The 26,274-nt window shown below is 36.7% G+C and overlaps 1 protein-coding gene across 31 annotated transcripts in view, besides 2 other annotated features; it reads left to right on the forward strand.

Annotated features, from left to right (window-relative positions):
- The window catches only part of DTNA (dystrobrevin alpha), a 398,533-nt gene that overhangs the window by 41,290 nt on the left and 330,969 nt on the right, over positions 1-26,274 (forward strand). The window lies entirely within an intron of this gene.
- Positions 13,900-14,456: an enhancer, noted in NCBI's record as "OCT4-NANOG hESC enhancer chr18:32128465-32129021 (GRCh37/hg19 assembly coordinates)". NCBI's record gives its function as "activates a minimal SCP1, AML or CMV promoter by ChIP-STARR-seq in naive H9 embryonic stem cells {active_cell/tissue: H9 hESC(naive)}" and the evidence as "EXISTENCE:reporter gene assay evidence [ECO:0000049][PMID:30033119]".
- Positions 14,457-15,012: an enhancer, noted in NCBI's record as "OCT4-NANOG hESC enhancer chr18:32129022-32129577 (GRCh37/hg19 assembly coordinates)". NCBI's record gives its function as "activates a minimal SCP1, AML or CMV promoter by ChIP-STARR-seq in naive H9 embryonic stem cells {active_cell/tissue: H9 hESC(naive)}" and the evidence as "EXISTENCE:reporter gene assay evidence [ECO:0000049][PMID:30033119]".

Genomic DNA, 26,274 nt, shown 5'->3' on the forward strand with positions numbered 1-26,274 from the left:
CCATATGCATTTGGTATTTGTCCTAATGCTCTCCCTCCTCTTCCCTCCAACCCCCCTACAGGCTCTGGTGCGTGATGTTCCCCTCCCTGTGTCCATGTGTTCTCGTTGTTCACCTCCCACTAATGAGTGAGAATATGAGTGTTTGGTTTACTGTTCCTGTGTTAGTTTGCTGAGAATGATGGTTTCCAGCTTCATCCATATCCCTGCAAAGGACATGAACTTATTCTTTTTAATGGCTGCATAGTATTCCATGGTATATATGTGCCACATTTTCTTTATCCAGTCTATCATTGATGGGCATTTAGGTTGGTCCCTAGTCTTTGCTATTGTAAATAGTGCTGCAGTAAACATATGTGTGCATGTGTCTTTATAGTAGAATGATTTATAATCCTTTGGGTATATACCCAGTAATGGGATTGTTGGGTCAAATGGTATTTCTGGTTCTAGATCCTTGAGGAATCGCCACAGTGTGTTCCACAATGGTTGAACTAATTTACACTCCCACCAACAGTGTAAAAGCGTTCCTATTTCTCCACAGCCTCACCAGCATCTATTGTTTCCTGACTTTTTAATAATTGTCATTCTAACTGGTGTGAGATGGTATCTCATTGTGGTTTTCATTTGCATTTCTCTAATGACCAGTGATGATGAGCTTTTTTTCACGTTTCTTGGCCAGATAAATGTCTTCTTTTGCAAAGTGTCTGTTCATATTGTTTGCCCACTTTTTGATGGGATTGTTTTTTCTTGTAAATTTGTTTAAGTTTCTTGTAGATTCTGGATTAATATCCAGAATGGATGCCAGATGGATAGATTGCAAAAATTTTCTCCCATTCTGTAGGCTGCTTGTACCCTCTGATGATAGTTTATTTTGCTGTGCAGTAGCTCTTTAGTTTAATTAGATCCCATTTGTCAAATATGGCTTTTGTTGCAATTGCTTTTGGTGTTTTAGTTATTAAGTCTTTGCCCATGCCTATGTCCTGAGTGATATTGCCTAGGTTTTCTTCTAGGGTTTGTATGGTTTTAGGATTTATGTTTAAGTCTTTAATTCATCTTGAATTAATTTTTGTGTAAGATGTAAGGAAGGGGTCCAGTTTCAGTTTTCTGCATATGGCTAGCCAGTTTTCCCAGCACCATTTATTAAATAGGGAATCCTTTCCCCATTGCTTGTTTTTGTCATGTTTGTCACAGATCAGATGGTTGTGGAGACATCAGGCATTTTTTACCTCTGCCCCTTAAATACCAGAATTCAGTATTTTAATTTGACAAGTAGCACATGAATGTGTTCTCATGATAAAGATTTAAAATACAGAAGTTTAGAGAGTAAAACTGTCTTCTTTTATTCTTCTAATAATTTCTCTCTCTTCCTGAAAAATAAGTTTACCTCTGCTTCTGAAACTTTATGCTTCTTTTCCTAAGAATTTATAAATACACACACATACATAATTTTCTGACATAAAATAAGGTGTAAAATACATTTTTCCATTTCTTTCTTTAATTTATTCTGACAATGTTTTTATACTTCAATTATAAGGACCTTTCTCATTTTAAGTGGTTACCTAATAAATTATAAATAGATGCTTGTAATTTGTAAAATAATTCCCCTATTGATTGGTATGTCATTTGATTCTAATTATTTAAGCAAACTAAATGTAAATTTGTCTTTTTTGAGGCAAACATCTTCCTGCTCACTGCCAAGTTTTTTTTTCTTGTGGATTCCTAGAAGTGGAATTTATCTGATACTATGAGCCTTTCTGCGAAATGGTTTTTCAAGTAAACTTTTATTAGATGATGAGCGTTCTAGGTTCTTATTCCCGGACCATCAAAACATGTTATTGATTCTTTTAAATACTTTCCCAGTCTGATCTGGGAAAAGTGATAGCTCATTGTTTTAAATTGTGTTTACTACTGACATTTAGCATGTTTTTATATTGGCCATTTGTATTTCCTTTCATAAATCTCCTTTTTGTCCTATTGAGTTATTTTTCTGTCAGTTTGATATTAGTTTTACTATAATGTAAAGACATCCTCTATATTTTCTTATATCTAGGAAACAGTTCACTTTTCTATCATAGTGAAGTGTAGCTATTATCTAATTTGCATCTAATTTGGCTTTCTTTTTAAGTTGCACATGAGAAATATGTGCTACCCATGTGTTAAATTAAATAAATAAAAACCCATATACCAAATTACCCTCTTTTATGTGCTATAACAATAATATTCCTAGTGCTTATGAAAAAGTGGCCAAATATATCAGAGCAAAAATATTCTCCTTTGTTGAATAGCAAATAATATGGGAGGAGAAGGAAGAAACAGGATACAGGTATCTTTGTTGAGGTTCAGGCACAGAGATAATGTAAGTCAGCCAGCTGCTTTTATACTAGCAGCATGACATGGAAAAATGAAAATAAAAATTCAGGGACAATAAAAGATATTTTCTCCTTTGCTCTCTTGAAGTCAAACTGTGTTCTGTGAAGTATCAGTACAACTTGCTATTACTAGCTATACCTGTCTAAATCTCCATGACTATTAGGGCAAAACTGTGTCCTTTTTAATTTTTTAAATGCTGGTTGTTAAACTCCTTCAGCTAATGGGGGCTTAGATAAATTTTTACATCCTACTAAAGTTACTGTTAACTCAAAACATGACTACCTAATCTATTCTTAAGGCAACAGAGTCTATTTGTAATTTTCTATCAACTGTCTTACTCTTTCTTGCTGATATAGCAAACGTAACAATCTACAGAGAGAAAATTTGCAGTGCTGAAAATAATATGAATATCACAAGAAAAGTCACAGAAGCATGACTCAATAGCATTTTTAAAAAGGAAAATAATTAAGGAAATTGTATTGTATTAAGGAAATTGTAGTGCATTAAAATACAATGCTGATTAAAAATATAAATAACATGTTTTAAAAAGCAAAAAAAAAAGCACATTTACAATCCCATATTCTCTACAAAGAAAGTTGTAATTATCAGAAATTCACCTCAATGCATTTAAATTCTGAAATTTTAGGCATCTCAAATGTGATAAATGCAGCAAAATATGAAGGAATGGCAATAGTACAAAACACAGAAGATAGGTCTGCAGTAAAATTAACAATAACCTGGAACTATAATTTCAGATGACTTTAGCACGTAGTTGGGATCTAGTAAAGAGGAATAAGATGGGGAAATGGAGGAAATGTGTAGTAATGCTTTTATAGGAAGGAGGAGACAGAGGTAGATTAGACTTTGATGAAATGTTATACACTTGAAAAAATATGTTATAAATGTATGAGTATTTATTAGAAGATTACAAATAAGATGCATAACTTTAAAATCATTAGAGGGAAAATAACAAAGTTTTCAAAATGATAGATAGGGAAAGGCAACGTGAAGCAACATGAAAGTACAATATATTTTAAAAATAAGTGTAAGAAATAAATTCATTCACTATACACTTGAACACATCAAATGATCTGAATTTCTCAGTCTGATTAAGTAGCTCTATGCTGTTTAATAAGAGCTACGCTCCGCAAAATGGTAAATAAAAGTTGAAAACAAAGGAATAGACAAAGTTATACCAGGCAAGTGCTAACAAAAAGAGAGCAGTTTTGCTAACCTAACTATCAAATTGTTGACGCAGATTCTCAGGCCACAACCCAGACCTACTGAAACAGACACTGTGGGGTTGGGGCCCAGCAATCCAGTTTGGAAACCACTGTTTTATATATGTCCTGAGTCCCAAATTCATTTCTCTAAATTGCTTGGGATTAGAACAAAGACCATGCAATCACAGATTTCTTAAAAATGGAAATTGATCCTTTATCCTAGTAAAATACTGTGAGAACTAAGAGCAACTTTTACCTAGTGAGTCCTTAAATATTCACAGTGGAGTGGATTCTGACCAGTAGAATCTCTACGCAGTGAGCTTGCTTGAGTTCAAATCATAGTTTTCTCATGGAGCGTTATGACCTTAAGGAAGTTAATAACCTGTTTGTTTTAGTTTCCTCATATGAAGATAGCAAGAAAATAAAAAAATCTTGTATAAATGTTGGGAGGGTTAAATTTGGTAATCCGTTAAAAATAAGTAGCCCAATGCCTGATATATGGTAAATACCCCATACATGTTCTTTGGTATTGTTTAAACAATATTTACCTCATGCAAAAATGAATTCTACATGGTCTAAAGACCTAAACATAAATCAATTTAAGCATCATAAAATAATATATAATTGTATGTGTACAGTCTTTGGGTAGGAATGATCTTCCTAAGAACAAAGAGCAAAAGCAGAATCCACACAGGAAAATTTTGTCCAATTTGCTTATTTATAAATTAAAATTTTCTCAACACAAGAGACACTAATGAATAGTAAAACAAATACCACACTCAGAGAAAAATAGTTCAACAGAACAAAAGGGAAATTTTATTAAAAGAATATACAAATGACCAATAATGAAAATATGTTAAATGTCACAAGTAAATGCCATGTAAAATAATGAGTTATCACTGTTCACAGATCAGATTGGCAAAATATTTAAAATGATCAAGAATATGCATTGATGGTCCAGGAGTAAGACAGCACACTGATCTCTTAATGCAGGTTTTCTTGGGAAAACTGTTTTAGAGGAAAGGTTCGTAGAATCAGTGAAATTTTACTTCTAGGATTCCATTCAAAAAAAAAAAGTTGGCAATGAATATGAAGATGTTTGTCCAAGGAAGACAAATTTGCATTTTGAATTTAAAATTTGAATTCTAAATTTGATTGTAGATTCTAGTTTCTTAAAGTTAAACTGAAAACAAAAAAGTACTCTCAGATGTCCACTGGAAATTTTATGAGCTATAAGGGTAATGGTGGTTGGCTGACTTGCTAATTTAGAAAATTAGGGGCAATCTAAATTTCCAAGTTTCTTTCAAGTAATCTAATAAAGTGTCAGGAATCAGAGGTTCCAGGCAGGCTAGTTTAGTGTGATTACTAAGGTCATTATGCTTGGGATTCCATCTCTGTTAACCTACCTACTGTTCTTTTGGCTTGTGGAGGCAGTTATATTGTTTTCTGCATTGATCTTGACTTCTAAGTTACCAGCAGTTAATTGTATCATTGTCTATGTGAACATATCTTTTCCTTTTAGGGTAGGGTGTTTAAAGATATAAACCTTGGACTAAAGTGATTTAGGAATTCTGTTAAAGAAAGAAGTCCATGAATTGGAATCTGTTGTCTTTATGTTTTTTTCAGTTGCAATATATAAGCACTAGAAAATGTTCCTTCTATTTTATATATTCTTCAAAAAGATTTTTTCTACTTAAATTTAAGTAGACATTTTGACTGGTAAAATTAATTTATGCTATATGCTTTTAAGGCCACTTATCAATATAGTCACTATAATTAACCAAAAATATATAAGTAATTAAACACAATACTAAACCAAGTGACAAATCTGGACAACATTAATCTGATTTTTGAATAATTCATTTTTATGAACTCTCAGATATTAATATTAAATCTCTTTAAGCTTTTTATTTAATAAATCACCTTCATTGAAAATAATATTACATAAAATTGAGGATGTCCAAAAAATGTGGAATATCTAATGCCTATATTTTCACTTACTTAATTTCTCCCTTTATTACAAAAATAATTTGGCAGAGATCATATAAGAAAAGGGATTTTTAAAAATTCAAGAACCAAAAATATTAAAGTTGTGGAAAGGAAAGAATAGAACACAAGCATGCAAGCCATAAGATTTTATGTAGCTCCTAATAGTGGATATTAGCATTTATTTCTGGGCTTCCTGTTGTCCACAATAACAAAGAAACATATCATTTATATGATTTTCATTGTATGAAGCATAGAAAATATACTGAACCTCCATGCAAAGAAAAGTTTATCTCGGAACATCACCTTACTGGGGACTTTCTATAACAGACACTCATACAGTGGATGGACAGTGACTTTATTAACATCTCTTCAACGTACACATTATCATAGTCCTTAAAATAATATCTAGTATAATCTTCAACAATATTTAAGGTGTGACACCAAAGCATACAACTAAATAGAAGAAGATCTGTGGGAAGTAAAGAACATATGGCCCAAGGTTACCCTTTATGACAGTCTACTTTAATCCACAGGGAAAATCTAGATTATTTAGGCAAAACATAAACTATCCAGAATAAAAAATAGACTTGATATCATTAAAACTGTGCCCTATAAAAACTGCTTCTCTAAACCAGACATGATGTGCTGGACAACCAAGAATTTGAGATTTTATTGTAGTCATTGTGCATGTTTAACACACTAAACATTTCCAATATCCAGATTGTTCCTTGAAGGTAGGGTTTTCATCTTGCACATATTCTGATTCTCTTCTGCATTTATAATTGACCTAAGGACCTGTTAAGCCAATTTAGGAATCCTTGCTGGATTCAATGAAATTAACATTTTTATGGGTTGTAAAAATTGGGCTATGCAGTAAGACATAATATTCTTCAGCGGTGAGAACACAATGGGACTTTAAAGGCACTGTAAAATGTTAATCCTTTTTCTATCTCAAAACACCATAAAATTACCTCTATAAAAAGTTTAGTTTTGAAAACAAAATTCTACGTATGATAAACACAACACCATTTTACAAGTTGGGTAATGATACAAATGATACAAATTGCATAGTTACAGGAGTCTAGGCCCACAGTTGAGATACATGTTGTCAAAAGAGAACCATTTCAGCTAGAGCAAGAATGTGATGGGAACTGATATGATTTGGCTGTGTCCTCACCCAAATCTCACCTTTAATTGTGATAATCCCCACGTGTCATGGGCGGGGCCAGGTGGAGATAATTGAATCATGGGGGTGAGTTTTTCTCATGCTGTTCTCTTGATTGTGAATAAGTCTCATGAGGTGTGATGGTTTAATAAAGGGGAGTTCCCCAACAAGCTCTCTTGCCTGCCACCATGTAAGATGCTCCTCATTTGCCTGCAACCATGATTGTGAGGCCTCCCCAGCCATGTGTAACTGTGAGTCAATTAAACCACTTTCCTTTATAAATTACCCAGTCTCCAGTATGTCTTTATTAGCAGTGTGAGAACAGACTAATACAGGAACATTCAGGAAATAGGTTAGAAAATAAAGGATTTTTCTGATGACAGACACAGAGGAACAGTCTAGGACGTATTAAATAGTGGGAGATAAAGTGAGATTAGAAGATATCCAGAGAAATGTGAAGAGAGTTGTCCTTGAGAAAAGGGATGGCATAGGAGCTGTGGACTTCTGATTGTGACCAGAGTAAAAAAGCTGCAAGGTGTGATGGGTCTAGACCTGGTGATTGATTAGAAGTGAAGGTCAACAACCCTAATTAATGCCTCCTTCTTGGGAATAAGCAAATCATAGAAAGTTTGTGCATGGGGAACAGGGAGACTCCAGGGGCAGTGGAGAGGCAGAGAAGAGTGGTATCATGGGAGCACACAGAAATCTCTGGGCATCCCCTCAGTCTAGCTGTGGACAGTGCCCTCGTTGGGCTGGGAAAGGTTGGGGGAGAGAGAGCTCACCAGGAACATGTACTAAGTTGTTCCATTTTTACTGATGCTGATTTCTATTCATTCTTTTGCCTTATATTGTAGTAAGTGTCTACTAAATTTAGATTTAGTGAATAGTCTAAATCTAAAACTCTATAAATTCACTTTTATCATTGTAATTTGCCACTGAGAACCCACCATTCAGAACAACAGTCCAACTTCAAATTGCTTCAGTGATTATATTGTTAATATTTCCTAGCTTCCAGAATTGAATCTCATGAAATTCATGGAATTTGGATCAATGTGTGTGGGTACTGTGGTGATCCATTCCCTCCTGTGGACTATTTCTCCTTTCTGAACTGAATGCTTCTTTGGTTTTATGTCTACTCATTAATGACTACATAGTAACCCACTTCTGACAAAGGCCAGTCTACACTGCCAAAGTGTTTCACTTAGCATGCCTCCCAGTGGAAGCAGAGGTGGAATCCAAAGTTTTCAGTTCATGTTGCTGATTCATTCAAGTTACTGAAGAAATGTCCAGAGACTAGAGACTGTGGAAGTTGTTTCTGTTCTGTGAAAAAAAAAAAAGTGAAAAATTAAGAATTAAGAGTGGAGATGTCACTTGGTGTTGCCAGGCTTTGGGGTTTTATATACCTGTATAATTTTTAAAAATAGAAAAGGCACAGAATCAACAACCATTTAAACAACCACCACCACAACTAATATCTGCTTACACCAGCATTTTATTAAAGAATTGCTATTTTCACACTTTAAAAAGCAACTACATTTCACATTTTGAAAAATGTATGTCCTCATTTTTTTTTCTTATTTCTACATCATACTAATGAAAAGTCCAGCATGGATCTCCAAGAAGCTGCAGACCTGAGTTAGAGAACCTGAACTAGCTGACCTCTGAGCCTTTACAAATGTGATATTCTGTAACAATCTTATTTAGTAGTATAATGCATAATTATGTATTTGGTTCTGTACTATTCAGTCTGCTTTATTAATCTCACTTGTAGCTTTAATAAAATTTCCAGAAATAATATTAGAAGTTACATCTAGATGTTTCTCTATGTATTTACTTTGCTGCGGTGTTGTCAGTCATTGCACAAGACCTGATACTGCTGTTCAGACTGTTCAATAAATATATAAAATAATGAAATGTATTTATTAAATATAATAATTTAATTATTTTAAACCATCATGTGGGCAATACATAATTTCTCCAAAAAAATTCTAACAAAAGGAATCTCTGAAAAAGCTGTCTTTCAGCACACAATAGATCAAAATGTGTAAAATAGCATGAAGTTCTAAACACAGCTGAAAGTTCATACAGCATTGTTAACACAGTGCGTTTGTTCTTGGATAGGAAAGCTGTGCTGATGAAAGTACTCTATTTGCCTTATAGATTAATACACCTGCACCTGTTACAATTCTCATGGATGTTAAACAGCATGTCATCCAAAAGGAAAACTGAGAATACTGCCTGTTGCCCCATGCTGTAGCTACCTGCTAACCACAGTAGAATAAAGTATATGAAAGGTCCTTCCACAATTTCTGGAATATAGCAAGCCCAAATAAGCATTTATTAATTCAGTCAGTGTACTGGGTTTAAAAATTGTGGACAGTAGATGACAACAGAAAAATCCCACCAAATGGAAACATCATACAAATACTGCATACACACATACAAAGAAACAATTGGAATTTAATATTCGATTCACTGAAAGTGCTTTTCAACTTTGTAGCAGGGCCAGTAGACATCTGGGAACCCATAAAAATGAGAAAAATAAGCCTGAGCTACAGCAATCAGGATAGAAAGGTGTGAAGGAAGGGGGCTGTTTTTGCACGAAATTTTAGAGCCAGCTGTTAACTTCAAGAGGCAGTTGCAAAGAGTGACAGCTGTGAAAGCAATAGATTCTCTTACATAAAAAGCCAGTTAGTAGGTGTTAGTACAGGAAAATATTGATTATGCAAAGTGGAAGTGAGAGTACTTCCTTAGTGAGAAGATTGTGCAGATTAGTATTTTCTAGCCACTGACCTCATGGAAGCCATCATCTGTGGCATCATTAATAAGTACAAGGACTAGCAGAGGTTGGGCAAGCCTGGGGTTTTTCATGTAAATAACACTACTCTCCAGTATGTCTTAATTTAAAAATGCCTAATGTATCACACTATAGTGTTATATATTTCTTTCCTAAGTCTATGATTAAATAAATATGTTTTTTTAAAAAAAATAATAGAAACTCTTGCTATAGCTGAAGCCTACTGACATATTTACATGTCTTGTTTCAAAGGGCACTATCCCCTGAAAAAGAAAATAATGCAATGCTCAACAAACTCAAGAGAACCATACTTGGGAACTCCCCTTCAATCTTAAAAGGAGAACTAGAAAGGAAAATCAAGGAATTCAGTCTCAATGGAATTTTCCATATAATTGTGGACCTTCTATGGAACGTTCTAAACTTTAGTTGACATAACAATTTTAAATTAGAGTACATATATTTATAATTACATCTGCATTGAAGTTTTATTTAGGAAATTATCTTTTTGAAAAAGCTATTTTTCATAACATCTTTAGAATCTAGTGCCTAAAGTTTTAGGTATCTGTCTAGGCATTCATGAGGAAGCAACTCGCAGTGTGTGTTTGGCTATGGTAATTACTCAAGGTCAGGTAATTACTGGGCAGAAAAGAGTGCTGGTTTCTCGGTGTTGAGGAGGAAGCCTGGAGACTTGCAATGGGTAAAACTGACTGGGCAATATGTGTCCATTACCAAAAGGGGCCCTTAGGATACTGTCAGAAGCAGTTGGTATTGACTGAGTTATCAACATTTGCAGTTGTGGCCTCAAGAAAAGATGATGTTGTTTAATACTGTGATTCCAACAAGTGGCAGATAAAGTTCAAAGGTAGCTATCCTTGTCCAGCAAGATTCCCTACAAAGTGAATGTGGAAAGCACAAGTGCAGAATCCTATCACCGGAGAGAGACTGATGTAAGTCCTTGGCAAGCTACCAAATTTCAATTTAGAGCTTGTGGGGGCTAATGGGAAGGGGACATAGGGAAGTATGAGTCCAGGCAGCGCTTGGAACAAGGGATCTGATAAGTAGCAGAGGTGATGGTAGTGACGTGAGATGCCCTGCAGTCTGGCTAGCCAATGGACACTGGATCTGGAAGTCCCAATTAATCTTGAATCCCTTTGCAGTAAAAGGGAGGAACCTCTGCTGGGTGTTGCAGTCAGTGGGGGACAAGGATATGATGTAAATCCAAGTTTATATTCCTACTAGGATATGTACTCCATGGAAAATTATTACAGTTTTAAAATTTCTCAGTTATGTTTTTGTTATATATTTTCTAATGTGTGATTAACTTAACCAGGCACCATAGTAGTTAGCAACAACAAAGAAGTATAAGTTGATTTTTAATTATAGAATGCATAACTTAAAAAATAGATCTAGCAATTTATTTTCATGGTAGCATGTAAAACATTGAAATGGTTAGTAGTGTATCTTTATTTCAACCTCCTTGTTTAAGGAATATGAGTAACAAAATGTCAGATATGCAAGTTTGGATTTCAGAGCTTCCCACTACCTTCAATTCAATCTTCTGCCCAACTCTAAGATTTTATAAATTATATTTAATTTCTTAAATATTTTTATTATAAATGGCAATAGGTAGAATTTAATGCAGTTTGTTCAGTTGTGTCCATTTCTTTTTCTTTTTCAGGTAAGAGAAAATTATTTTATTTGTTTCTCCGCAGGCTGTAGGAAACATTAATAATTCATGGAGTCAGTTTCTTCTGTGTCAACACTTTCTGAGCACACCACCAGGTCCCAAGCTTACCTGGCTTTCTCAAAGCACAGTGTGCAGCACGTTTGTTCAGAGATCATTCATTAAGGATCTATGGGAGGCTCGGCTCTGTAGTACTCATATAATCATACTGTGGGAAGAATGTTTAAAATACAATTTCCTGTAAATTGGTACAAGAGCATAAGAAATGGCCAAGTGCTTTGAAAAATGAACTAATTGGTACAAGAGCCTAGGAAATAGCCAAGTGCTTTGAAAAAATGAACTTACTGACACACGATAAAAAACATGGGTCTCCCCTTCCCCCAGCAATGAGAATATATTTCTTCTCATATTGTCATACTCCCTCCTTCTGGCCTCTGTCTAACCAAAGGCATACATGTCAGCTCATCCTAACTGAACACCTTATGTTCATTCTGCAACTCTGGGTCAGTAAAGCTGGCTAATTTACATGGAGATCTGCCCTATCAAGTGAGCCCAATCAGTATAGTACTGAAACTCTGAATTAATCATGCCTCTTTAATCAATGAGAAGGAAGAGTCTCAAAGATTAATTCAGATCAACGAAAGGATCTAGAATCATGCATGATTTCCTGCTTGACTGACTCTATGCTAGTAAATATGCCTCTGACAAATTAGTCACATAGGTTCAATATCCCAAGGAAACTAAAAAATGAAGACATAATCAATGCATCCAACATTATCTCACAAACACCAAGTCATCAACCAAACCTTTAAACAAAGTTGAAGTGACATTTTGTGGCTAAAATGTGAGTAATTTGAGTAAGGGCCATGGGGGAGGGGAAGCCACCCAGTAATTACCTGCCCTTATTTTTTTGTAATTTTCTTTCTTTCTTTCTTTCTTTTTTTTTTATCTCAGCTCACTGCAACTTCTGCTTCCCAGGTTCAAGCAATTCCCGTGCCTCAGCCTCCCAAGTAGCTGAGATTACATGTGTGTGCCACCACGCCTGGCTAATTTTTGTACTTTTTATTAGAGACGGGGTTTTGCTGTGTTGGCCAGACTGGTCTGGAACTCCCAACCTCAATCCACCCACCTCGGCCTCCCAAAATGCTGGCATTACAGATGTGAGCCACTACACCCCACCCTGTTGTAATTTTCATGATTATAAATCTGCTGTTATGATATTATCTAAAATGATATAGAAAGAATAAGTGTAATATAAGTTACCATATACTGGTGATTTACTGCAAATATAAATAATTTTTGAAAGATTGGAAATTTGTATAATAATTTTTTGAAAGAAATTATTTTCTGCTTTTTATAAGTTTGATCAGGCCCTCTTGCTCACCAACAAAAGCAAAATATATACATATTTCAACATCATAGAGAGCTATTGTTATATTATAATGATACTTTTTAAAATTATTAAATTTCTAACTCTTTATGCCAGGGAGCCTCAGTCAACCTGTCAGCTTCGTGCCTTCATTTCCCCCAACGTTCATCATAAAGAAAGCTATAAGTAGCAAGAATTGATCTTTCTACGGATTTGCTCTGAGCTGCAACCAGCCAAGGAATTACTCTATTGTATGTGTCACTGTGAGACGTCTTGGGAGAAGTCTTACAGGGTGGGAATTACTCTGTGCTCTGACCTGTGTGCATAAGGCCTAACTCAATGAAAATTACACATTGCCCTTATACTGGACAAGTTTATGAAAGACATCCATTATTATTTTTTAAACTATATTGGGTTCCTGGAGATATACCTTACTGTTATCCTTGAGTGAATTGGCTTCACTTTTTCTTTGTCACAGAACAAACCTGTTTACATAAACTGCATCTTCATGTATAGATATACAAGGACAAATTCAACATTTGAAAATCACTTCTAAAAAGACATACGACTGAGCTTAAATGACAAAAGTTGGAATAGATTGTTTAGGAGAAGACTATTGGATATTAAGCCTTTGCTTTATGAATTTGAATTTCAATATATCCTGGGTGCAATCTGTCTCTGCATATTTCAGCTAAATTGTAATCACAGCAACCAACTAAGTGTTAACCCAGCCAGAATCTTTCTTGGATGCTTTTGAGATAAATCTAAAATAAATAAGACAAAACAAGGATTAATGGAAGATTAAAAGATTCACATAAACATAGCTAAATGTTAACGATTGAAGACAATATTTTTGGAAGCTGGGGAAACCTTTTACCTTCTGTTTCTTGAGGCTTAGGAGATTTATTCTTGGGTAGTTAGAGACTTTGATTTTCCTCTTTTAATGAATGACTTCCTCCTCTTCCATGCTGCCTTACATGTATTTTTGTGCTATAAATTTTGTAATAGCACATTTAATTGAAAAATTTTAGGCCTACCCTGTCTCAAAAGACAGGACTGTAGTCTTGCCTGAAGGTGTCCCTATACTCTGGTAATTCACACAGGTTAGAGGTGTGTCCCAGACCAGAAAGCAAAGCTGTAAGGGTAAAGGTCAATAGAAAGGTAAAGGTCAATAGAGAGCCTAAAGATTGACAGCTCTATCTCTTTTAGGCTGAATTCTTTTCAATATTTTTCTTTCTCAGTAGAAACAATCTCATTTGAGGAAAACTTGATGATAATTAACATTTTATAAGGCATTTTACAATCGAAGCATTTCTTTCAGCATTTAGAGTATTGAAAGGAAAATATTAAGTGATTAAAAAGGCATGTGCTTTGATTTAAGGGCATTGAAAGAAATATCTATCATTTGGTCATATCTGTGCACACCCTCCTTCCCTGACACTAAGATTCCTAGTAGACTTTGATTAGCCTCCTAACCATCCCAAGCCAGGAGTCAAAATTCCTAAATATCTGCCTCTACCTCTTGGTTCTTTAAGGACTTTCACTGACCCCTGAACAAAAATACCTTAAGACCTTAACAGAAGTATGTTAATATCGGGTAACTGCATAATGGCATTATAATCAAACCTTTTGTCTTTTTAATGCTTGACCAATTCAATACTTTACCCTTGGAGGAGATAATGCCACTGGCCAGGAAACAGGAAGCAAGTCTGTGAAAGTGTTCTAGCCCACTTAGATTCAAATCAAGTCTCTAGAATGATTGTGGCTAATACTGATTCTTTAGCAATCTTCACACAATGGAATTTCTTTCCCTTATTCCCACCTTAATAAGTGGTACCACCTTTTAACAAGTCCCTCTCAATCCCCAAAGAAATGTCATCTAGAGCTCCTGCCTCCTGGTGTTTTCTTCACCCTCTTTCCCTTTCTCTCTCTCTGCTCCCACTAACATGGTCAGCAGAGCATTGTCATTTCTCTCTAAGAAGTGCTAATATCTAACTGGTTTCTGACCCCTCTATGATCTGTCCACACTAGAGCCATCAGAATCTCTCGAGAACATAAATCGGCATCTTCTTTAAATCCCATCATACAAGGATTCCCTGTAGGTTACAAGGAATTTACATTATATAAAGCATTTTATAATCGAAGCATTTCTTTCAGCGTTTAGAGTATTGAAAGGAAAATATCAAGTGATTAAAAAGAAAATCAAAGCCTGTGCTTTGATTTAAAGGCATTGAAAGAAATATCCATCCTTTTTAATGTTAATTAAAAAGCTTCCCTCTCATTCACAAAGTTCCTGGACTGCATCCTAACTCTCTCACTTTTCTGACTCTCCTTTTAATCTAGTTTACAGGAGTGCCCAGATTACCATTGCTGTTTATGTTGCTTTGTTCCATAGTTACATCCTACTTGTAATTCAGACTCAACTCAGTCCTGACAAAAGACTTCTGTTTTAGCTTTCCTATCTTATTTCACAATTGCAAGCTTTAATTGTTTTATTTCCTTTCCTTTTGCTGATTTTTTCTACTTTGTTTCTCTGAGCATTATTTTAGAGCCATATTAGATGAGATTTTTTATTATTTGTAACAACTATTGCCTTTTATTACTAATGATAATGACTGTAGTACTTTAAAAGTTAGTCTTTAAATGGGCCTCATAAAGGGTAACTTTGAAACTGATCTGGTGATTTGTACATTTGGCAAATGAATCAAAATTTGAAATTGAATGAATTTGTCTTGATGAATTCTGGCCATTAAAAAAAGATTTAGAGTAACTATTATCTGAATTTAGATATCAGTTTTTGTTCCTTAAGTTCCTTATTAAAGAAATGTTTGAAATCATACTCTCTGCCTTAAAAATCCCAAAGTGTTCTCTGGGAACATAGGTAAACAACTCTAGAAAGCTTCTAACAGTGATATTTTATCCTTTTTCTTTTATCCTAGTGTACAACCTCAGTTGGATTAGGCCAATTCCCTAAAATTTCATAGAAAGGAATTTGTTTTCATTGTTATAAACTAGAGGGTTTTAGGAATTGGCAGGATGAGAGTGGGATTTTCTCCGCGATCCTTCTGTCAACATTTTTCATACACTATTTTCTAAGGGACTAGTGAGCAGAGTACTCCTGAGTCCACTAGAAGGTGCATGGAGTGGTTGATTGATTTATTGATTTTCGGCTAGGGGATCTATATGCAGTGCTAAACTGGACCTTCTTGCTCACCCAAAGCAAGTAGAAACAGTTACTGGATTATCAGAAAAATATCCAGATTTTAACTTAACAGCTGTGTCACATCAGGGTGGTGAGCAGGTGAATCGACACATTTTTTAATACATTTTCCAAAATTGCCTAGTTAAATTCTTAGATGCCTTTTGAGTCTGAGAATTGTCATTTTGGGCCTGTCTACATTTTAATAAATAAACCAAATTAAATGCATTGTCAAAAGAACAATAAAATTAATCTAGTTTTGTTCTAGTGTTCTTACCTAAAATGAATTAAAACATCAAGTGATTTCAACTCTTCATGTATATTGCATTGTTATTCAGGGATCTTCAACTTTTTTCTATTACTTCTAAGAGACAGTAGAACTCCAAATAGTCTGGATGTTATATTTCTAATCAAAAATGTCTTTAAAAGATTATCTCTTTAAAGGAAAAAAATTTCATTTTCCTATTATATTTTGCTTTGTCCTCACTTTTTCTGATCACTATATTTATTCCTATAACTATTCAGTTAATTGTACAGCTTTCATTGATGACATTGCATTCTGCATTGTTCAATAGAGCCCCTTCTTAGGCACTGCTTTTAGTCTCATATTAACTCCAATTTCTTTAATCCAGATTGCCCTTATTTACTTTGATATGAAACATAAGGCCATCTGTTGAGCCTGAGCTTTTACTATTTTTGTCATCACTATGAATAGACTGGCCTCCATTCATGCTCTCCTGATGGATCTGTCTTGTCAACCATAAAGAGAAAAGAGTTTTGTTTTAGCTCGCCTATCTTATTCCACAGAGATTGATAATTTCCCACTCAAACTCTTACAGTTTGTGTCTCATTCATATGAAGGCCTTTCTCTTCACCCTACCCATGTGTAGGCAAAAAACAAGTCAAGTGGTTCTGCCTCCAAACTATATCCCACAGGTGTTCGCCTCACCACAGCCATCACTCAAACCAAGTTCCCAAAATCGCTTACCTAGGCTATTGCAGCATCTTCTCCACGGGTTCTACCACTCAGCTAATGCACTCTCCATTCAGCAGCCAGAAAGGCTTTTTGTTTTACTTTTTATTGGATATTTTTTTTTGTCAATGCTTGTTGGCATTTCCAAAGTAGTTGCTTCTCCAGTGCCCAATCTGGGATGTATAAGGTGAAAAGAAAACCCAGGGAACTCATTGCTGCATTGTTCCTCAGAGGCTGAGGTCCCTAGCAGCCTGTCTTCATCTCTCCAGCTTTCAGAGGATACTTGTGTTTGCTTTATGTATAATATCTAGAGTTTTAGGCTGAACATAGCAGGAGGGCTAGGAAAAAGTATATCTTTTGGTCTAGATCTGAAAGTCCTGAATGCCATTTAAAAATATATATCACATTGCATCCCTGTACCAAGCTTAAAACCTTTCAGTGACTTTCTCTTGCTCTTAATATACAATGAAAATTTACCTCTGTGACGCATAAGACCCAAATAATGTGATCTTGGCCTGTCTCTGCAATATTTATGTGTCAGTGGCTCTCATTCTATTCAACTGGCCTTATATTTCCTTGAATAAACTAAGACTCTTTTCCCACTCAGAATCTTTCCCCATGTTGTTCCCTTTGTCTCAGCCATTTGTCATCAATGCTGTCACTGCTTGGCTCCATTTCAGCCTCTGGTTTAAATGCTCCCTCCTTTATAATGTCCTTCCCAAGCCACCTTATCTCATATTCTTCTCTTACTTTCCTATGTTTAAATTTTCTTCAGAAATTAATATAACTCATATTTTTCCATCGTTACTTTTCATAGTCTATATGAACAGGTTCCCAACTTTGCCTTTTAATCTTTTGAAAGGTGCATTTAATGAACACCTCGATGGAAGATGGTAGTATGTTGTAATCAACCATTTCATAAAGAAATACAAAAAAAGCCCCTGAGTTATAGATCACTATGTCATCACGGGCCCAGTTGCTAGTTTTGGTTTGCTTATTTTTTTTTAACTATTTTTTTTTTAAATTATACTTTAAGTTTTAGGGTACATGTGCACAATGTGCAGGTTAGTTACATATGTATACATGTGCCATGCTGGTGCGCTGCACCCACTAACTCGTCATCTAGCATTAGGTATATCTCCCAATGCTATCCCTCCCCCCTCCCCCCACCCCACCACAGTCCCCAGAGTGTGATATTCCCCTTCCTGTGTCCATGTGATCTCATTGTTCAATTCCCACCTATGGTGAGAATATGCAGTGTTTGGTTTTTTGTTCTTGCGATAGTTTACTGAGAATGATGATTTCCAATTTCATCCATGTCCCTACAAAGGACATGAACTCATCATTTTTTATGGTTGCATAGTATTCCATGGTGTATATGTGCCACATTTCCTTAATCCAGTCTATCATTGTTGGACATTTGGGTTGGTTCCAAGTCTTTGCTATGGTGAATAATGCCACAATAAACATACGTGTGCATGTGTCTTTATAGCAGCATGATTTATAGTCCTTTGGGTATATACCCAGTAATGGGATGGCTGGGTCAAATGGTATTTCTAGTTCTAGATCCCTGAGGAATCGCCACACTGACTTCCACAATGGTTGAACTAGTTTACAGTCCCACCAACAGTGTAAAAGTGTTCCTATTTCTCCACATCCTCCCCAGCACCTGTTGTTTCCTGACTTTTTAATGATTGCCATTCTAACTGGTGTGAGATGGTATCTCATTGTGGTTTTGATTTGCATTTCTCTGATGGCCAGTGATGATGAGCATTTTTTCATGTGTTTTTTGGCTGCATAAATGTCTTCTTTTGAGAAGTGTCTGTTCATGTCTTTTGCCCACTTTTTGATGGGGTTGTTTGTTTTTTTTCTTGTAAATTTGTTTGAGTTCATTCTAGATTCTGGATATTAGCCCTTTGTCAGATGAGTAGGTTGCGAAAATTTTCTCCCATTTTGTAGGTTGCCCGTTCACTCTGATGGTAGTTTCTTTTGCTGTGCAGAAGCTCTTTAGTTTAATTAGATCCCATTTGTCAATTTTGTCTTTTGTTGCCATTGCTTTTGGTGTTTTGGACATGAAGTCCTTGCCCATGCCTATGTCCTGAATGGTAATGCCTAGGTTTTCTTCTAGGGTTTTTATGGTTTTAGGTCTAACGATTAAGTCTTTAATCCATCTTGAATTGATTTTTGTATAAGGTGTAAGGAAGGGATCCAGTTTCAGCTTTCTCCATATGGCTAGCCAGTTTTCCCAGCACCATTTATTAAATAGGGAATCCTTTCCCTATTGCTTGTTTTTCTCAGGTTTGTCAAAGATCAGATAGTTGTAGATATGCGGCGTTATTTCTGAGGGCTCTGTTCTGTTCCATTGATCTATATCTCTGTTTTGGTACCAGTACCATGCTGTTTTGGTTACTGTAGCCTTGTATAGTTTGAAGTCAGATAGTGTGATGCCTCCAGCTTTGTTCTTTTGGCTTAGGATTGCCTTGGTGATGCGGGCTCTTTTTTTGGTTCCATATGAACTTTAAAGTAGTTTTTTCCAATTCTGTGAAGAAAGTCATTGGTAGCTTGATGGGGATGGCATTGAATCTGTAAATTACCTTGGGCAGTATGGCCATTTTCACGATACTGATTCTTCCTACCCATGAGCATGGAATGTTCTTCCATTTGTTTGTATCCTCTTTTATTTCCTTGAGCAGTGGTTTGTAGTTCTCCTTGAAGAGGTCCTTCACATCCCTTGTAAGTTGGATTCCTAGGTATTTTATTCTCTTTGAAGCAATTGTGAATGGGAGTTCACTCATGATTTGGCTCTCTGTCTGTTGTTGGTGTATAAGAATGCTTGTGATTTTTGTACATTGATTTTGTATCCTGAGACTTTGCTGAAGTTGCTTATCAGCTTAAGGAGATTTTGGGCTGAGACAATGGGGTTTTCTAGATATACAATCATGTCATCTGCAAACAGGGACAATTTGACTTCCTCTTTTCCTAATTGAATGCCCTTTATTTCCTTCTCCTGCCTAATTGCCCTGGCCAGAACTTCCAACACTATGTTGAAAAGGAGTGGTGAGAGAGGGCATCCCTGTCTTGTGCCAGTTTTCAAAGGGAATGCTTCCAGTTTTTGCCCATTTAGTATGATATTGGCTGTGGGTTTGTCATAGATAGCTCTTATTATTTTGAAATATGTCCCATCAATACCTAATTTATTGAGAGTTTTTAGCATGAAGGGTTGTTGAATTTTGTCAAAGGCCTTCTCTGCATCTATTGAGATAATCATGTGGTTTTTGTCTTTGGCTCTGTTTATATGCTGGATTACATTTATTGATTTGCGTATATTGAACCAGCCTTGCATCCCAGGGATGAAGCCCACTTGATCATGGTGGATAAGCTTTTTGATGTGCTGCTGGATTTGTTTTGCCAGTATTTTATTGAGGATTTTTGCATCAATGTTCATCAAGGATATTGGTCTAAAATTCTCTTTTTTGATTGTGTCTCTGCCCGGCTTTGGTATCAGAATGATGCTGGCCTCATAAAATGAGTTAGGGAGGATTCCCCCTTTTTCTATTGATTGGAATAGTTTCAGAAGGAATGGTACCAGTTCCTCCTTGTACCTCTGGTAGAATTCGGCTGTGAATCCATCTGGTCCTGGACTCTTTTTGGTTGGTAAACTATTGATTATTGCCACAATTTCAGCTCCTGTTATTGGTCTATTCAGAGATTCAACTTCTTCCTGGTTTAGTCTTGGGAGAGTGTATGTGTCGAGGAATTTATCCATTTCTTCTAGATTTTCTAGTTTATTTGCGTAGAGGTGTTTGTAGTATTCTCTGATGGTAGTTTGTATTTCTGTGGGATCGGTGGTGATATCCCCTTTATCATTTTTTATTGTGTCTATTTGATTCTTCTCTCTTTTTTTCTTTATTAGTCTTGCTAGCGGTCTATCAGTTTTGTTGATCATTTCAAAAAACCAGCTCCTGGATTCATTAATTTTTTGAAAGGTTTTTTGTGTCTCTATTTCCTTCAGTTCTGCTCTGATTTTAGTTATTTCTTGCCTTCTACTAGCTTTTGAATGTGTTTGCTCTTGCTTTTCTAGTTCTTTTAATTGTGATGTTAGGGTGTCAATTTTGGATCTTTCCTGCTTTCTCTTGTGGACATTTAGTGCTATAAATTTCCCTCTACATGCTGCTTTGAATGCGTCCCAGAGATTCTAGTGTGTTGTGTCTTTGTTCTCGTTGGTTTCAAAGAACATCTTTATTTCTGCCTTCATTTCGTTATGTATCCAGTAGTCGTTCAGGAGCAGGTTGTTCAGTTTCCATGTAGTTGAGCGGTTTTGAGTGAGATTCTTAATTCTGAGTTCTAGTTTGATTGCACTGTGGTCTGAGAGATAGTTTGTTATTATCTCTGTTCTTTTACATTTGCTGAGGAGAGCTTTACTTCCAAGTATGTGGTCAATTTTGGAATAGGTGTGGTGCTGAAAAAAATGTATATTCTGTTGATTTGGAGTGGAGAGTTCTTAGATGTCTATTAGGTCCGCTTGGTGCAGAGCTGAGTTCAATTCCTGGGTATCCTTGTTGACTTTCTGTCTCGTTGATCTGTCTAATGTTGACAGTGGGGTGTTAAAGTCTCCCATTATTAATGTGTGGGAGTCTAAGTCTCTTTGTAGGTCACTCAGGACTTGCTTTATGAATCTGGGTGCTCCTGTATTGGGTGCATATATATTTAGGATAGTTAGCTCTTCTTGTTGAATTGATCCCTTTACCATTATGTAATGGCCTTCTTTGTCTCTTTTGATCTTTGTTGGTTTAAGGTCTGTTTTATCAGAGACTAGGATTGCAACCCCTGCCTTTTTTTGTTTTCCATTTGCTTGGTAGATCTTCCTCCATCCTTTTATTTTGAGCGTATGTGTGTCTCTGCACGTGAGATGGGTTTCCTGAATACAGCACACTGATGGGTCTTGACTCTTTCTCCAATTTGCCAGTCTGTGTCTTTTAATTGGCACATTTAGTCCATTTACATTTAAAGTTAATATTGTTATGTGTGAATTTGATCCTGTCATTATGATGTTAGCTGGTGATTTTGCTCGTTAGTTGATGCAGTTTCTTCCTAGTCTCGATGGTCTTTACATTTTGGCATGATTTTGCAGCGGCTGGTACCGGTTGTTCCTTTCCATGTTTAGTGCTTCCTTCAGGAGCGCTTTTAGGGCAGGCCTGGTGGTGACAAAATCTGTCAGCATTTGCTTGTCTATAAAGTATTTTATTTCTCCTTCACTTATGAAGCTTAGTTTGGCTGGATATGAAATTCTGGGTTGAAAATTCTTTTCTTTAAGAATGTTGAATATCGGCCCCCACTCTCTTCTGGCTTGTAGGGTTTCTGCCGAGAGATCCACTGTTAGTCTGATGGGCTTCCCTTTGAGGGTAACCCAACCTTTCTCTCTGGCTGCCCTTAACATTTTTTCCTTCATTTCAACTTTGGTGAATCTGACAATTATGTGTCTTGGAGTTGCTCTTCTCGAGGAGTATCTTTGTGGCATTTTCTGTATTTCCTGAATCTGAACATTGGCCTGCCTTGCTAGATTGGGGAAGTTCTCCTGGATGATATCCTGCAGAGTGTTTTCCAACTTGGTTCCATTCTCCCCATCACTTTCAGGTACACCAATCAGACGTAGATTTGGTCTTTTCACATAGTCCCATATTTCTTGGAGGCTTTGCTCATTTCTTATTCTTTTTTCTCTAAACTTCCCTTCTCGCTTCATTTCATTCATTTCATCTTCCATTGCTGATACCCTTTCTTCCAGTTGATCGCATTGGCTCCTGAGGCTTCTGCATTCTTCACGTAGTTCTCGAGCCTTGGTTTTCAGCTCCATCAGCTCCTTTAAGCACTTCTCTGTATTGGTTATTCTAGTTATACATTCTTCTAAATTTTTTTCAAAGTTTTCAACTTCTTTGCCTTTGGTTTGAATGTCCTCCTGTAGCTCAGAGTAATTTGATCGTCTGAAGCCTTCTTCTCTCAGCTCGTCAAAGTCATTCTCCATCCAGCTTTGTTCCATTGCTGGTGAGGAACTGCGTTCCTTTGGAGGAGGAGAGGCGCTCTGCGTTTCAGAGTTTCCCGTTTTTCTGTTCTGTTTTTTCCCCATCTTTGTGGTTTTATCTACTTTTGGTCTTTGATGATGGTGATGTACAGATGGGTTTTTGGTGTGGATGTCCTTTCTGTTTGTTAGTTTTCCTTCTAACAGACAGGACCCTCAGCTGCAGGTCTGTTGGAATACCCTGCCGTGTGAGGTGTCAGTGTGCCCCTGCTGGGGGGGTGCCTCCCAGTTAGGCTGCTCGGGGGTCAGGGGTCAGGGACCCACTTGAGGAGGCAGTCTGCCTGTTCTCAGATTTCCAGCTACGTGCTGGGAGAACCACTGCCCTCTTCAAAGCTGTCAGACAGGGACATTTAAGTCTGCAGAGGTTACTGCTGCCTTTTTGTTTGTCTGTGCCCTGCCCCCAGAGGTGGAGCCTACAGAGGCAGGCAGGCCTCCTTGAGCTGTGGTGGGCTCCACCCAGTTCTAGCTTCCCGGCTGCTTTGTTTACCTAATCAAGCCTGGGCAATGGCGGGCGCCCCTCCCCCAGCCTCGCTGCCGCCTTGCAGTTTGATCTCAGACTGCTGTGCTAGCAATCAGCGAGACTCCGTGGGCGTAGGACCCTCCGAGCCAGGTGCGGGATATAATCTCATGGTGTGCCGTTTTTAAAGCTGGTCCGAGAAGCGCAATATTCTGGTGGGAGTGACCCGATTTTCCAGGTGAGTCTGTCACCCCTTTCTTTGACTCGGAAAGGGAACTCCCTGACCCCTTGCGCTTCCCAAGTGAGGCAATGCCTTGCCTTGCTTCGGCTCACGCACGGTGTGCGCACCCACTGACTTGCGCCCACTGTCTGGCACTCCCTAGTGAGATGAACCTGGTACCTCAGATGGAAATGCAGAAATCACCCGTCTTCTGCGTCGCTCACCCTGGGAGCTGTAGACTGGAGCTGTTCCTATTCGGCCATCTTGGCTCTTCCCCCCTAGTTTGCTTATTTTTAATTCATTGATTAATTCAACTATTATTTACCAAGTGCCTGTTGTGTGTCAGACACTATTCTAGTTGTCAGTAATACAGCCATAAACAAAAATACGTTACTGCCCTTATGGAGTGTACATTCTACTGGAGGGAAAATAATACACAAATATGAAATGAATGCATAATATATTATGTGATGCAAATAAAAAATAAAGCCGTTGAAGAGAAGAGAAAGTGATTGGAGTAGGCTGGGAATAGGAAAGTGAAGAATTTTTTACATTCAATGGTCCAGAAAGGTCTCTTTGTCATACAGTGGTATTTGAGCAGGGATCTTAATGAAATTGAGAGCCAGCCCAAGCAGATATCTAGGGGAAGCAAAGGGAAGACTAAGGACAAATATTCTGAGACTGAAATGTATGTGCTGTTATTGAGGAACAACAGGAGACTGATGTGGCTGGAGCTTAGGGAAGGAGGAAGCAATGCTAAGAGATGAGGCCAGTACTAAGATAGCCAGAATGAGACTATTGATGGAGATGGTTGACAGACTTTGCCTGTGACAAACTGCATATGCTTGTTACACATGGCCACTCTTAATGTTGGTTGATTAAGAGTACTGTCCATTGGAACATGGCAACAGTTTCACCAGTAGAAGCAAGCTGTGTGGTGAGATTTAACTCAAAACATTATTTGATAACTAAGTTCTAGTAACAATAATACATACATGATACCCATAATGCCTGATTTCCCTACTTGACTCTAGGAAGGTAGATAGGATGAAGAGAAAGTAAAGATAATTAGGGCATATTATAAAAAAGTAATTAGAAATAGTTCTAAAAGGAAATAAACTAATTGTTTCAAAGTTATTTAAAATTCAAAACTCACAGTTGTTTAATTGCTTTCTTACATTGCAATTTCGCCAGGGTGAGCAACTGAATCAAGTTCTGTGGATAAGTGGGGGGAAAAATGAATAGAGAATTAAAGTATTCCAAAAATACTGAATGGGCGTTTAAATGTGTGCAACCTTTTTTATTTCTTAATTGAAATATGAAAGCTGTGCTTAGTGCACAAATGAGTGTTATATCCTCATTTTGTAGATGTGGGATAAGGATTAAATGTTATGTCTAATACTACGAAGAGAACACGCTGCTGTTCTGGACAGGAAATTCAAAAGGAAATAAGTGCCTGGTTTCACTCTTTGGTATAATTATCAATTTCCTTCATTCACCAAGGCTCATATAATGAAGAGCTTTAAATCTACTGTTGGCCATGTTCAACTGAAACAGAAGTAAAGGTTGCATCCTCTCTTTCCCTTACTGTAGTTCCTCCTGAAATCAGAACTAAGGAAAGCCAGTTTCCAGAGGTCTTTAGTAAACACAGTCTCAGAACTAGACTTCCTTTTACTCTTATGCCATCCATTTCTTTACTAGTAAGCTGGAATTAATGTTGCATCTCCTCTGTCATCCTATACATTGTACCACAAAATATGTATAGGAAAACACAAATTATGAAGTGCTTGAAATATATTACTTCCTGTTTTAGAATTATTATGATTGTAAACTAGGTTGTGCTGACCTTAATAAACCACTAGAGATTCTGTAATTTCACCTTGTTCTTTTTCATACATACCCTTTCCCATATAGACTTTTCCCTTTATTTGAAATGCCTTCCTTTCCCATACTACCATGCTTGGCCTGACAAACTCCTATTTATCTTTCTGGGCTGAGGTTTTAAGTGATCTCACCCTGTAAACTTTCCCTAATCATCCTCTCTGGGTTAGATACCTTTTTGCACCTCAGCTGTGTTGATTTTCATTTTAGATATGTCTTCTGTAGCAGACCACAAACTCCTTGAGAGCAGGAACTGTATTTTCATTTTCCTTATATTCACAATATGTACCATAATGCCAGGAACATAGCTGGGTGCTACAAATATTTGTTGAATAATTGAATGACACAATTTCAAAACAAATATATTATTTAACCAAATAAGTAAGTAATGAGAAAGTTACAAATTCTAAGGTCATAAAGATACTTGTAACTTAGAATGCCTTTTAAAGTAATGTACTCCAGTGTTATCATAAGTAATTGAAATAAGCCTACACATAGTTTACTCAATTATTTTGATGTTCATTGAGATGAGTTTTGTTTCCAGTAAATATTCTGAACATATGATGCATCTTAGTTTTTCATGGTAGTTATAGAGAATCTATAGCAATTTAAAATTTGAATAAGAGGTTGGGCGCTATGGCTCACTCCTGTAATCCCAGCACTTTGGGAGGCTGAGGAGGATGGATAGCTTGAGCTCAGGAATTGGAGACCAGCCTGGGCAACATACTGAAACCCTATCTCTACAAAAAATACACACACGCACACACACGCAATTAGCCAGGCATAGTGGCGTGTGCCTATTAGTCCCAGCTACTTGAGAGGCTGAGGCATGAAAATCGCTTCAGCCCAAGATATGGAGGTTGCAGTGAGCCGAGAT

The sequence above is a fragment of the Homo sapiens genome, chromosome 18 (genome assembly GCF_000001405.40).
Source record: "Homo sapiens chromosome 18, GRCh38.p14 Primary Assembly".
In the NCBI taxonomy this organism is placed as follows: Eukaryota; Metazoa; Chordata; class Mammalia; order Primates; family Hominidae; genus Homo; species Homo sapiens.